General features: G+C 37.8%; 1 annotated feature.

Annotated features, from left to right (window-relative positions):
* Positions 9245-10444: an enhancer, noted in NCBI's record as "MED14-independent group 3 enhancer chr8:108116572-108117771 (GRCh37/hg19 assembly coordinates)". NCBI's record gives its function as "activates an origin of replication core promoter dependent on BRD2, BRD4, P300/CBP and CDK7 cofactors, and independent of MED14, by STARR-seq in HCT116 cells {active_cell/tissue: HCT116}" and the evidence as "EXISTENCE:reporter gene assay evidence [ECO:0000049][PMID:35650434]".

The raw sequence follows: 15603 nt of genomic DNA on the forward strand, positions 1-15603 counted from the left end.
GTGTGTTCTGAGACACTGGATTATACATAAGAACTGACAACTTCCAAAACAAATGTCTTTAACTAAGGGGAGTTATAAGTCAGGATAGCAATGAAATAGATGGCAAATTCTTCCCATCTGTAAATTTTATTTTCCTGAGTATATGTTCTAATCTTAAAAATAGATATATCTGTATTCATATATAGATATATATACGTTTATGTGTATATTTATACGCACAAATACCAACACACATTATTAGAGAAGATGCAAATTACCTTCTATTTGTACTTTGAAGGCATTCAAATATATTTTATCCACCACTTCATTAAAGTAATGCCTTAAATTACCAACCTTCTGCCTGCTGGACTTTAACCATTCAGAATCAAGATTGATCAAGTCAAAGGCTACAGTGAAGAATAAGAGAAATTCTCAAGTGCTGAGTTAAAGATGTCAAAAGCAACAAGAACTTAGCTTACTGACAAGTGGAAAGGATCAGTGTGTCCAAACTTCACTGGTCAGAGATGTTTAGAAATAGCATTTAAAAAGCAAAAGATGGCAGCTACCCTCATAGTGCATGCTGGGCAGCAGGAGCAGTGGTGGATGGCACATGGTCTGATCGAGATCAGCGGAGGTCACAGGGATTGAGAAAACCTCAGAAAAGTAACATCAATGAATAGATTTGTAGGCAAATTCCTTAACTTCTCTGAATGCTAGGTTCTTTCTTTTCTTTTCTTTCTTTTTCTTTTTTCTTTTTCTTTTCTTTTTTTTTTTTTTTGAGATGGAGTCTTGCTCTGTTGCCAGGCTGGAGTGCAGTGGTGTGATCATGGCTCACTGCAACCTCCGCCTCCCGGGTTCAAGCACTTCTCCTGCTTCAGCCTCCAGAATAGCTGGGACTACAGGTGTGCACCACCACACCCATCTAATTTTTGTAGTTTTAGTATAGATGAGGTTTCACCATGTTGGCCAGGATAGTCTTGATTTCTTGACCTCGTGATCTGTCCACCTTGGCCTCCCAAAGTGCTGGGATTACAGGTGTGAGCCACCATGCTGGGTCAATGCCAGTCTCTTCATAAGTAACATTGACATAATAAGAGTATTGACTTCATAGGGTTATTATATTATTAAAAAAGATATTCATGTAACAAATGAAAAGTGAGCCTGGATGATATTTATTGAATTCTTACTGTTAGCTCTGTACCATGCAGTGTTTGAGTCAGTGTCTCTCCTGATATCTATGCTTGTCCTTTCTCTATGACTTATGTTGATTGTGTAACCAAACGCAGGTCCAGTCCCTCAACACTCACAGAACCAAATAACAAGGATGAGGTTCAGTGGAAGAAAAATGACTTTATTTTCCAAAGCTAGCAGTGAAGAAATGGTCCAGGCTCCTACCTTAAAGAAACCATTTCAAATTTTGGACAAAAAACAAAGACTTAAAAAGGAGTGCTTGGAATGCGGGGCATGCAAGGAGGGTGAGGAGGTGCTATTCTATGAGACTTGTTCCAACGACTTATCTTGAGTTATTGTCCCATCTGGTAAGTGGGCTAGAACCCTCCTGGGCACAGTCAGGCTGTAAATTAACTAAAGCCTTGAGGTAATCCCCTGGTGGGCCAGAATTCCACAGGTGCCCAGATTGTTTTAAGATTCAGTCCCCAGAACTTACTTTGAAGCAAGCATATAATTAGATAAGGGAAACATTGCTCAGGAGATGCCTGATGGGAAGAAGGAGCAAAGGTTATGACTTCATTACTAAGAAAGGATGAAAAAGGAAAACAGAAAGAAAAATTTAAACACATGATAGCAAGGTTGTGGAGAAAAGGAACACTTTTACACTGTTGGTGGGAGTGCAAATTAGTTCAGCCATTGTGGAAGACAGTGTGGCACTTCATCAGAGGCCTAAGGACAGAAATAGCATTCAACCTGAAATCCCATTACTGGGTATATATGCAAAGGAATATAAATCATTCTATTATAAGAACACATACACATGTATGTTTGTTGCAGCACTATTCACAGTAGCAAAGACGTGGAATCAACCTAAATGCCCACCAATGATAGACTGAATAAAGAAAATGTAGTGTATTTACATGATGGAGTACTATGCAGCCATAAAAAAGAGCAAGATCATGTCTTTTGCAGGGACATGATGGAGCTGGAGGCCATTATTCTTAGCAACAGGAACAGAAATCCAAATACCACATGTTCTCACTTATAAGTGGGAGCTAAATGATGAGAACACATGGACATGTAGAGGGAACACAATGAACACATTTCAAAGAATGGAGAGTGTAAAGAGGGAGAGGATCAGGAAAAATAACTAATGGGTACTAGGCTTAATACCTGGGTGATAAAATAATCTGTATAACAAGCCCCCATGACACACGTTTACCTATGTAACAAACCTGCACTTGTACCCTGAACTTACAATAAAAGTTAAAAATAAATAAATAAAATTGTACTTGTTGAGGGAAAAAATAGGGTACTCAGTTACAATTGTATTACCTGTTGGTGCATTGGATTGTGTGTTATAATATCCCTGTTTGGCCTGGCAATTTTTCCAGCTCACATTCAGCGTTATAATGATGTATAGCAGCAGCCCCTAACAGTTTTGGCACCAGGGACTGGTTTTGTGGAAGACGGTTTCTTCATGGACTTGGGGGGTGGGGTGGGGGTAGGGGCTGGGAGTGGGGGAATGGTTTTGGGATGAAAATGTTCCACCTCAGATCACCAGGTATTAGATTCTCATAAGGAGCGCGCAGCCTAGAACCCTTGCATGCACAGATCATAATGAGGTTCGCACTCCTATGAGAATCTAATACCTCCGCTGATCTGACAGGATGCAGAGCACAGGTGGTAATGCTTGCTCCCTACCACTCATCTTCTGCTGTGTGGCTCAGTTCCTAACAGGCCACAGAATGGTACAGGTCCATAGCCTGAGGGTTGGGGACCCCTAATGTACGGTGTTATGGGCAAATTAGTGGCCATGAAAGCCAAGATATTAATAATAATCTATTCTCAGTGCAGAAGTATAGTGAAGTTTAATATAGCATAAGTATCAACCAATCATACCTGATGCTGGCTCAATTTTAAAAGATACCAGTTATAGACAACTGGAATAGATATACCATTGTGTGTATATAGATACACAGTGACATAAGAGCATCAGTCCTGCCTATGTGATTCCAACTTCAGCTAATCTATTGTAGGGAAGTTTCAGCAAGTTGGGGATTTAGAGGCAGAAAGGGAGAAATCTCTTTCCTCCCAATCATAAAGAGTCACAGCCAATACTCCTATAAAACAAAACACAGGTTAATGAGAAAAGCATAACAAATGTATTATGTGCACAGGAGTCATGCAAAATATTGAAAACTGAAAGAAAGGGCCAGATGGTTGATGCTTAAATACCCTTTTCACTGGAGGAGAAGCAAGCGTGTATGGGGTGCACGGAGGAGGTTGCTGTAAAACCATGGGCCTGAAGACTATAAAATGGTTTGTAAATGATTCTCTTTGGGAATTGAATGGGGTCTAAGAACAGACAGTAGTTTGGGACAAAGTTCATCTACATTCTAGGTGTGATATTTAATTTTCAGTCTCTTCCTTTGTAAGAGGAATTTTAATCTTCTCTGATTAATGACATTTCAGGGAAGAGATCAAAAATAATTTTGTTTGTGTTTCTAGGTAAATAAGGGGACATCAGAGAAGAGCCTCATCCTGTGTTTTGGGAGAGATGGAGGATTGAGACAAGGGTGGGTAGGCAGGAGGTCAGAGAGACCTTGAGTTTGCTTCTTTAGTTGAGCATGTTAAAGCACTGTATTTCAGGGTGTTTGATATTTCAGGGTATCAGTTTCTGAGCCTCAATAGGAGTTTCTGTGAGTGGAAAAGCTTCTGCTTTCCATTTACTATCATAGGTTTCAAAGCAGAAATCTGCCTACTGATTTTGGATCCCAGGTATAAAAAAAGAAAAGAAGAAAAATAAGAAAAGAAAAAAGAGGAAAAGATGGAGGAAGAAAGGGGAAAAACAATAAAACTAACCAATTAAACAAACAAACTCATTTCTTCACGTAATATCAGTTTGTTGACTTAATGTTTTAATGATTAGCTAGCTTAAAATTGGAGTCCCTTGTGTTTAAGGATTCATTAAAGCAGTCAAAAATAGTAAAATAAAATAAAACTATTAAAATGTGTACAAAGCTTCCTTCTTAATATGGGTAGGGCAATATTAAGTTCCCAAAGGCAGAGAAGAAAGAATTCCTACAAGGGAACAAAACAACACTTTTTCTTTTAAGATGCTGTAAATATTATAAATAGTTTTAAAAAAAGTTGGAAATAAACTTAAACAAATTGGTTTACAAAATCCTGAAAAGCCTGTGAAAATGACAAAAAGAATTAAGACATCCAAGAATATGTAGAGACACATGGAAAAGCATTGTATTTTAGATTTAGTAATTAGATACATTTCTCATTAAATGGTTTCTATGTGAAAGGGCAAACTAGACTGAAGTAATTCAACCCAGACCTGCTTGATCCCAAAAGACTGGCACAGGGCAAACTAGACTGAAGTAATTCAACCCAGACCTGCTTGATCCCAAAAGACTGGCACAGGGCAAACTAGACTGAAGTAATTCAACCCAGACCTGCTTGATCCCAAAAGACTGGCACATCACATCACAGAAGATTTTCTGGATTTGTCAGACCTTCTCCAAACCTGGATTATTGGATGCTTGAATTGTGAATGTGGACTTAATGATCTTTCATGAGCATGCATTACCATATCTGGGGCCAACTTTTTGTAAATCTGTTGGTACTTGGGTCTTCTTAAAGTGCTCTTTTCTATTTCTGCTGGGGTTTCCCCATTTTTCTCCTACAAACACTATGGTGACTTGTGGGGGTCCCCTTTTGAAGGAATTCATAAATGAAACATAAAGGATGGAGAAATGGAACTTGGAATATCTGGAGTTTAGTTGAAACCTCAGAAACTTTGGTGCTGTTAGCCTAGGGAGCCTGATGTACCAAGAGGATAGATACAGATATTGATAAAAGAATCAAATGCTGGGTGTGGTGGCTCATGCCTATTAATTCCAGCACTTTGGGAGGCTGAAGCAGGATTACGTGAGCCCAGGAGTTTAAGACCAGCCTGGAGGTCGGGTGGGGTGGCTCACGTCTGTAATTCCAGCACTTTGGGAGGCTGAGGCGGGTGGATCACAAGGTCGGGAGATCAAGACCATCCTGGCTAACACATTGAAACCCCGTCTCTACTAAAAAATACAAAGAATTAGCCAGGCACGGTGGCACGTGCCTGTAGTCCCAGCTACTCGGGAGGCTGAGGCAGGAGAATGGCATGAATCTGGCAGGCGGAGCTTGCAGTGCAGTGAGCCAAGATCTTGCCCCTGCACTCCAGCCTGGGCGACAGAGCAAGACTCTGCCTCAAAAAAAAAAAAAAAAAAAAGACCAGCCTAAGCAACATAGGGAGACCCCATCTATAATAAAAATTTAAACAATTTTTCAGGTATGGTAGTGTGTGCCTGAGGTCCCAGCTACTCAGGAGGCTAAGGTGGGAGGATAGCTTTAGCGCAGGAGTCTGAGGCTGCAGTAAGCTATGATCACACCACCACACTGCAGCCTGGGTGAATGAGCAAGACCCTATCTCAGAAAAGTAAAAAATAAATAATATTTATCTGACAAATTAAGCCCAGGAAGTCCACTGCTCGAATAGAAACAAAACATTACTTGGAATTAACTTAAAAATGGTGATGACTGAGATCTGTGTAGATTGAAGATTTGTACAAGAAAGTCTGAATACTGTATTAGAATATCATCTAAATATATTATAGACTACATCAAATATTTCCCAGGTCAGGAATTCATGGGGTAAAACAATTTATTAACTAACGAGACACAATGTTATATATAGCTTATGACATCATGAAGTCTAAACTGGCCTAGATGTGTACCCAGAGAAGTTTGTATGTATTCCAAAGGGCCAGCTTTTTGTAGATGCAGATTCCCTAACACAGTTAAGCTAATTAGTGTTGTTAACTACACAGAGTTAACAAGAAAGCCATATTGGGTCAGGGGCTCCAGTTCTTTTGTTTAGGATACTAGGTCAATTGCAAAATAATGGTTGTGTTGTAAGGCACAATATTTAGCATACTAATTGCAAAAGTCTCCTTAGTGTTTGACCCGTTTGGACAATATCTAGAAGAAGGGTTAGAGTAGACCTGTAATCCCAATTTGCCAGAAATAATTGCTTCAGAAGTGTCTGATATAAAGCACAGGAGTCTTTATATCAGACTACAGGCAGTCTTCACTGTGCATGGCCTGTCTAAATAACACTTGTACATACCAAAATAGTTTCATCATCTTGTATGGTTTCACTGTACAAAGCAAGGACACAGTTCTGACATGCATGACTTCCCAATAATAATACCATGCAAAGCAAGGACTACGTATAGTTACTCTAGGATGTAGTAGGTCACAGGTAGGTGGCAATACAATTTAGCATTTAAATTGAGATTGCTTTGAGAGTGAAATAGGCTCTATCAATTATTATACAGGGATAACAGTTATAAATCAAGGCTGTTCCTGGTAAACATATGGTCACTGGGATGATAGGATTCTATACCAGGTGATACCAAAGATAAATAGGAAAGAAGAGGTTAAAACACAACACAAGTGGAGCCCAGAAGTGTCTGTCATAAAGCACAGTAATACGGTCAGTGCTGTGTTACATAACACTTGTGCATACCAAAATAGTTTCATTGATTTGTATGGTTTCACTGTAGGAAGCAAGAAAACAGTTGTGTATTGTTGAGTAGACAGAGCTCTGACCAGACACACAACACGTTCATGAGACGATCATTCAGCCAGAATGTTAGCTCATCAAATTATCAGTTCCTTGACATCTATCATAGTGTTGCTTCAAAGGCAGGTCTTGATCTGTCACATATTGGATTGGCAGCCTAGCACTCCCAGGATAAGCAAGAGTTTAGAGTTAGTGGTACAGGTAGGATGTGGCATTTATCAGTGGCAGGTACTATGCAAAATAAATTTCTCTTTCCAGTATCACATGGTTCTAATAATTCAGAATGCTTGGTGTATCATAGATATTCAATAAATTTGCAGAAAGTTATAAATAAGATGCTGTTATACAACTTCCATGAAAAAGTCAGCCCAACTCTGCTGAAACTCCACAGAACATCTGTGACAAGAAACACACACAACTTTATAAGGAATCAATTTCACTGCTAGTCGATTGTAGTTGTTAAATGTTCTTTCTTAGATTATGTTGAGCTGCTGAAGTCTGTCTTTCTGTACTTCCTATCATTTTCTGCCGTCTGAATTGAGAGCAGGTTTTTGTTGTTGTTGTTCCTTCTTGATGCTCTTATGCTACCCCTTGGATATTTATTTTCCTCAGGCAAAAAAACTTTTTTTTTCCATTGCTTCAATCATTCATCATATGATTTGTTTTTAGCTACTTAGAAAAGAGTGTATTAGAAATATCTTGGGAAGATGCATGAAAGTCTCTTGCTTTGTGTCAGAATTAATAGTAAGTCACACCATTTGTTTTCCATATGATATAGAGCATTAGCATCTTGATTCATGAGCGTACTTATTACTGATGATAAATTTTAGTACCCTGTTCTGTTAGCTATTATTTTTGCCTTTTCTCATTTATCATTTTTTAATCTGCTTTGGCAATAATCATATCTGTCACTAGAACTTGAAGAAACAATTAAATAAAATTGTTTTCTAAGAAAATATACCATCCTCCTTATTGTAAAGCCATTTGAAGTTTTAAAAAGACTTATTATACCCTTGCATAATTCCTTCTGCTCCCAATTTACTATTGCTCAGGTTGTTAATCTAAAATTCTGTGGATATACTGGCTCTTTTAATCAGTCTTTATTTCCATGGACATTTTTAAAAGTGTACCCTGTATATGCACACTTGGCATATATGTTGCCACATGTCAGCAAAGAGATAAAGTTGTTATTTTAAGTCTGGGCAACTCTTAAAGCATTTTTTATGTGTAAGACATCAAGTTCTCACATGGTGAAAAGGGGGGCAAAGGAATAATTTAGGTTTGCTAGGCAATAGTAGAGGGGATTGTACATTTATAAACTACCTCAAAGGTTAAAAAGCATTTTAATTTATTTTATCTTATGTAGTCCTTACAAAAATGTGGGGGTTTTTAAAGAATAGAAGTTTGCAGAGCCCTTTGCGCTATGAAGAAGCTTTCTAAAAATTTATCTCTATTTTTTTAATTGTAAAGGGATGTGAAAAAATGAAAGGATAAAATCATTCCAGTGCCCTGTGTAGAATGAGGAAGGCTCTGTTCAACATGCACATAGCAAACCTAGTTTTGCCAATAACCATTTTTTTTAAATTAGCCACTCTTCATGATTTCTGCTTTTCAATTTGTTCTTTTCTTTCCATTTTAAAACAACAAATTTCCTATAAGCATTTGATAGGTGTTCCCAGCAATCCTTTTAGTAAGTATTTCAGAAGCAGGGTAAGAAGGAGTAATTGTTGACAGATTTAGGTTACTTGAGCATGGTCTGTTTGTAAGTTGGGAACTTAAAACGAATCAAGTCATAGGTAAACTTACTATTACAGAAGTTAGATTTTTTGAGTATTTATCCTCAAATACTTTAACTATAAACCTATCAATTTTTAAATAACTATGTTTTTTTAAAATACATGTATTTAGCTGTAAAACAGTAAAGAACTTGAATTTGCCCCTAGGTCAGCACTTGTACTCTAATTACTGACATTAGGTGAATACCAACCAGCTAAATCACAGTGGCTCCAGAACATTTTAAGGAGCTGTGTCTGCACAATATATGGCCTCATGTGCAAAGTAGAAGATTGCTTATACAAACAGAAGTGTGCACGTGTAAATTCTTTTTTGTGTTGAAGCTGCTTATTTTGTACAGATAATCACCAGGCCGCATTCCCACTAAATGTATTTTGCTGCCTCAAATTGTGGGCTTAATTATGAAAATTGATCCTTTGAAGAGATGAAACTCTTTGAAGTTTTCTTTCCTGATTGTAAAATTTTATGGGTTTTGTCTATAAATTGAGTCGTGCAGAATGACTGGCCTGATGGATTCTGTCGCTTGAGGTCTAGTTACCTTCAACAGTGTCCCATTGCCCATTTTCTATTAGAATGCCATGTCTGTGCAAGGACCCCTGGGCCATGAGTTGATGATGACATTAATTCTTCTATAAGTTGGATCTCTGCTTCTGAACATTTTCCCCATTTGGATGTTCTGTCATTGTTAACAGTGAGAGCAGAGAAGGAAGTAGAAAACATGTTTCTGTTTATCAGTTTAAGATATGTTAAGAGGCAGCTGTAATTATACTATGGAGATAAAAGCAGTATTATCCAGCATTAACAAATGATTGCATTTGTCACTTACGTGAAATGCTTTGGGCACTGGAAAGAAGTGACACTATAAAGTCCAAGGCTTCTATTGTCTTTATATGTCATTTCTGAGGGAGAAATGGCTGACAAGACTAATATTAGGTCCCTAAATGTTTCCACAGTGTGGCATTAAACTTTATTTGACATGTAAATGCAGAGACCATCTATAGAGACAGGCATAATTTGTGGTTTCCTTTTAGAATCTTAATTCAGTGTCTATTTGGAAGGCTTTATGTGTATTTTTATTTATTTCCTTCTCTGCTGTGCCTATGTTGTCCTATAGGATTCAAAGATAATCCTGAAAGTGATACTACTAACCTTATTGGAAAAGTTTAAAAAAATGTGTTGGCATGACCAGCATGTAATGTAGGAATTAATTCTTGCTTGTGGTTTGAACCCTAAATCAAGGCTGTTGCTATTAGTGACTCTGTAACTTTGCCTCAAACTTTTCCAGGAAGAGAGCTTTCCTTATTGCCACAAAGCAAGCCATTCTATCTGCTGTGGTCTAGCCTAGAAGCCCACATCTGTGCTATGATGTGAAGGTGGGTCATGCTGTGGTTTTAAATATTGTCTTTAATATATTTTGCCTGTGAATCAATGCAACCATCCTGGAGGGAAATGCGGCAGTACCCACTAAAAAACTTAAAAATGCTTACCATTCATGACTCAGCAATTCGACTCTAGAATTTTTTAGGAAAAAGTTTCAATGATGTATATTAAGATTCATGCATACAGTTTTCCTTCAAAGTATTATATATAATGATAAATTTGAAAAAATACTATGTTGCACAATGCAAGGTTCCTCATATAGTCTAGACTAGAATGGGATAGAGTCATTAAATAATGTGTGATAAAGTTGTATGGCTATCAGGGAATGTTTATAATCTTTTAAAAACAGAAAAAGTACTTTTAGGAACTATATTCAGTTTAAACTACTTTTTTGTGAAAATAGAGGTAAGTATATAACAGCATTAGCCTATTGTATAGTTTGCTTGTGTGTGTGTTATGTGTTTTATTGAGAGGTCTCTTCAATTTAAAAATATCCCTTATTACTACAAAAGCAGTTCAGCTTTTGCAGTCTTCTCTTCTCCTGTGTTCTCTCTTCCTATGTAAAATAAAAATGGCTGCCATTTGATTCTGAAATCCTTGTTTCCAAACGTATTACTTTCCAAACTTTACCAAGCTACAGCACTGCAGCTGCCACCACCCTCTCCCCACAGCAGAGCTTGAAAAAACAAACAGTGTCTTTGCACTACAGCAAATTTAACACTTCAACCAGTGAAGGGATATACTTTTATGAAGCTGTTTCTTCACTAGAAGTTGAAGAATAATTGAATAAATATTAAAGAGGTAGAAAAAAGATCAACATGGGGTGGAGATTGGGGTGAGGCAAGTTAGACTTCCCAGGTTTTTGATTTGGACAACTGGTAAGTTGTGCATCACATCCCCATCTGCTGGTTAGCATTTAGGGTCTAGGAATATAGAAATGGAAAAGACATTGCTCTCCAGTTACCAGGCGCTCTCAGTGTAGGTGGTGAGATGGACACAGAAACAAATAATTATAATTCAGTGTGGTTAGTATCATAATTGACATATATACTCAGTACTGCCAGCTTGGAAGAAGGAATAATTACTCTGTGGACCTTGAAGCTCTATTTAGACTTCAGCGAAAGAGTGGTGCTTGATTTAGCTCTTGAAGATTGAGTAGGTATGGAAATTACAAGTCTTGCAAATTGCAAGTAATTACAAATTATGAGTGGTGACATATGGCAATGCAGTCCAATCATTTAGGGTTTTCCTTTTTTTTTTTTTTTTGAGATGGAGTCTCGCTCTGTCGCCCAGGCTGGAGTGCAGTGGCGCTATCTTGGCTCACTGCAAGCTCCACCTCCTGGGTTCATGCCATTCTCCTGCCCCCGCCTCCTGAGTAGCTGAGACTACAGGCACCCTCACCACGCCTGGCTAATTTTTTGTATTTTTTAGTAGAGACGGGGTTTCACTGTGTTGGCCAGGATGGTCTGAATCTCCTGACCTAGTGATCCACCTGCCTTGGCCTCCCAAAGTGCTGGGATTACAGGTGTGAGCCACTGCGCCGAGCCTCATTTAAGGTTTTCTTAGGCCAATACAAAAATCGATTTTGGTTCAGTCAAATGAGCCATTAGAAAATGTTGTTTTGAATTTCACATGTATAGCCTTCTCCCAACATGTCATCTAAGAAACACCAAAAATTGCATGGCTATGAGAAATGACACAATTCTTCAGCACCAAAACAGAAAGATCCACACAGTCAGCAGATTCTGTTTGCAAAGCATACATTCCAGAACAAGGACTGATAAATGTTGGAAAAATGAACTTTCAATAATTCTACCAATTCATCACAATCTCAGTTTAGATTACTGTTTCTCAACCTTATTTCATTATCATTCTCTTGCCAACGAGCATTTTTTCCTAATCACTTCTCCTACTCCCCATGAAATTTTAATATAATAGATATATCTGTTTATATGTAACTGCAAACCATCGTAATAGCTAAGATTATTTTCACCTCTCAAGAACCAATTTTGGCCCTGTTGGGGTTGATATCACCTCCACCAAGCATATGTGATTGAGATGAAGCAGGTCAGTTGTAGATGTTAATACAAATGTTTTATCTCCTAGATTGCTTGAAGCCCAGCACAGTTTTATCCAGAGGCATACATTTTGTTTTATATGTGTTATAAATTTTTATATGTGTTTATATGTGTTAAATATGTAAATCGCAGGACATACATTGACTGTTATTAAACCCTTTAAGGTAACTTTAAACAGTTACCCAAAGCAGAAGTTTTGTTTAGATTCTGGAAGCTATATTCAATTTCTAAAGTGTAGTTCTCCAACGAATATCCTGACTGCCTCTCATTTCTGAGATTTTTCAATGGAATCTCATCTATTTTTTTTTCAGCACCTTAAAAAAAATAGACAGGAAACAAAAATTCTTCAGACAGTCCTTTTTTGGGTCATGTATTTCCTCTGGCTAACCTCAACCAAACCAAAATCAGAGCAACAAGTAATTAGAGCAATTTCAAAGAACACACACACACATGCATATACATATAAACTAAAAAAGAACCATAATTTTATTTGGTAAATACAAGCTAGGGCCAAAACTTTTATGGAAAATGTAATGCTTCAGAAAACAGCATACCTGCAACTTCACATTATGGGAGGGTCCCTATGATAAAGAGTAGAGACTGGCTGGAGGAGAAAGCTTCCACAGGAAGATGACAGTGACAACTTTCAGATTTGGGAAAGTAAAAGACACCTGGAAAAAATGGATTGGGGACTTCAAGCAAATAAAAAAAATCTTCCTTTCTTTGCACATACTTAAGATTTGAGGAACAAAGGGCTTCAGGTCCTATGCTAGCATAACTAGCATGCACTTGACGGGGCATCAGCCAAATGCAGGTGGAGCCAATGAACACCAGAAAAGGACTATGCTGGGTAAGAATGCATGAACATTGGGGCCGGGCGCGGTGGCTCACGCCTGTAATCCCAGCACTTTGGGAGGCCGAGGCGGGTGGATCACGAGGTCAGGAGATCGAGACCATCCTGGCTAACAAGGTGAAACCCCGTCTCTACTAAAAATACAAAAAATTAGCCGGGCGCGGTGGCAGGCGCCTGTAGTCCCAGCTACTCGGGAGGCTGAGGCAGGAGAATGGCGTGAACCCGGGAAGCGGAGCTTGCAGTGAGCCGAGATTGCGCCACTGCAGTCCGCAGTCCGGCCTGGGCGACAGAGCGAGACTCCGTCTCAAAAAAAAAAAAAAAAAGAATGCATGAACATTGGAAAAGCACAGAGGAAGTGGGGGAAAGACGTCTCCAGATTCTGCTGTGGTAGTCTGACTCATGCGCATCAGGGTTGTGCAGTGTCAGGCAAATTTTTTGCCAGTTCCATACATCAACCATTGAAATGATGCACCACCGAAACCACCAATTAAAAAAAAAAACTATCAATAAAATATTGTACAATTTTTTCCCAGGAGTAACAGAAATTGGGAGGAAGGGTTGAGGAGGAATGAATCTCTATCATCTTGTTGTCCATGGGAATGCTGACAGGAAAACAAATCAGGGAGGAATGGCCTGACAAGGAGCCCCTAAACCCAAGGTGTCCCAGGGTTACTGTCTCCCTTTGCCTTTCCCCTTCATGAGCAGATTTCTCTCCCACCTTCCGCTGGGTCTCCCTGTCATCCCTCCAGGCACCTGCCCTCTTGGCTCCTACGTGAGAGGAGAGTTACCATCTCAGACACACCAAAGTTAGTGATTTATAAATTTATTGTAGGTCTAGAGTTTAAAGCTCTAAAAGTGTTACACAAAAAAGATAATAGATGTACAAAAATAAACTGTTCTGTGGCTGTTGGAAAATCCAGATTAGATAAATTTAACAGGTTTACCAACAGGCTAACAAGCACTGTGACTCTTCAAGTGACAGATAGTATAGGTAGTTTCTTAACACATACTGGAAAATAATTAAATACATTTTTACATATAAGATTCTATTTCACTTTTGCACTAAGAGAAACTGGTATTTGTCAAGGTAAATTTTCTTTTAATATTGGGAACAAAAATAACTTTTATTTTTCTTTGAGACAGGTTCTCACTCTGTCGCCCAGGCTGGAGGGCAGTGGTGTGATCTCAGCTCACTGGAGCCTCTGCCTTACAGGTTCAAGCAATTCTTGTGCCTCAGCCTCCCAAGTAGTTGGGATTACAAGTGAGTACCACCACACCTGGCTAATTTTTGTATTTTTGAGATGGGGTTTCACCATGTTGCCAAGGCTGGTCCCAAATTCCTGGTCTCAAGTGATCCGCCCACCTCGGCCTCCCAAAGTGCTGGGATTACAGGTGTAAGCTATCTCGGCCAGAAGTAACTTTTGATGAGCAAAGTAACTCCTTATAGTTACTTGGGATTTCAACTAATATTCAATATATTAAATTAGAAAAAAATTTAAAACATAGCTTTTAGTCTTTCAATTTAACATACAGTTCTTGATATATATTCTATCAATATATCTGCTATTTACAATATAAAAACAAAATCACTTTTATATGTATCAAAACAGCAATCCATGAGCTCGGGTTGAATAGACTAAAACATCTTAAATAATCAATGGCATTTACAATTTTGTTAAATTTCTCTAAATATTTTATCTGCACTTATGAATTTAATAATTTGATTTTCTTAAATGATCCAAATGTATAACAGGGTAGACTTGTAACCTTAAGTTGCAAAACTTTTCTAAACCCTTACAACTAACATTTGTTTAGTGCTTACACTATGCCAGATAGTTTTGTAAGCTTTTTACATATCTTAATATTAATTTATGTAATTCACACAAGATTCTCATTAAGTGGCTAACTATTCTTATTTCTCTTTTACAGATGAGAAAACTAAGACATTGAGGTGTTGAGTAACCTGCTGAAAGTCACATAAGCTAATAAGTGTCAGAACTCTTACTAACTTAGTATATCTAACTCATCAGTATAGTAAATCAAGTTCTCTTAGACATTCTAGCACTCTTGACTAACTTAAATTCTCTAATAACTTTCACTTAAAAGTTACAAAACCATTATGTCAGATTATCTTAAATATTACAAATAAAATAAATAGCAAACAGATTATTCTGAATTTAACGTGATGTTTTCATACTAAAGATTTAATTTGTTTTTTTCTTGATCTAGTCATAATTTCTTTTTTTATTTTTATTTTTTATTATACTTTAAGTTCTGGGATACATAATCGGAAGTAAAATATTCCTCAGCAAATGCAAAAGAACGGATAACAAACAGTCTCTCAGACCACAGTGCAATCAAATTAGAACTCAGGATTAAGAAAATCACTGAAAACTGCACAACTACATAGAAACTGAACAACCTTCTCCTGAATGACTACTGACTAAATAATGAAATTAAGGCAGAAATAAATAAGTTCTTTGAAGCCAGTGAAAACAAAGACACAACATACCAGGATCTCTGGGACACAGCTAAAGCAATATTTAGAGGGAAATTTATAGCACTAAATGCCCACTGGAGAAAGCGGGAAAGATCTAAAATCAACACCCTAACATTACAATTAAAAGAACTAGAGAAGCAAGAGCAAACAAATTCAAAAGCTAGCAGAAGACAAGAAATAACCAAGATCAGAGCAGAACTGAAGGAGATAGAGA

This window comes from Homo sapiens, chromosome 8 (genome assembly GCF_000001405.40).
Source record: "Homo sapiens chromosome 8, GRCh38.p14 Primary Assembly".
Classification (NCBI taxonomy): domain Eukaryota; kingdom Metazoa; phylum Chordata; class Mammalia; order Primates; family Hominidae; genus Homo; species Homo sapiens.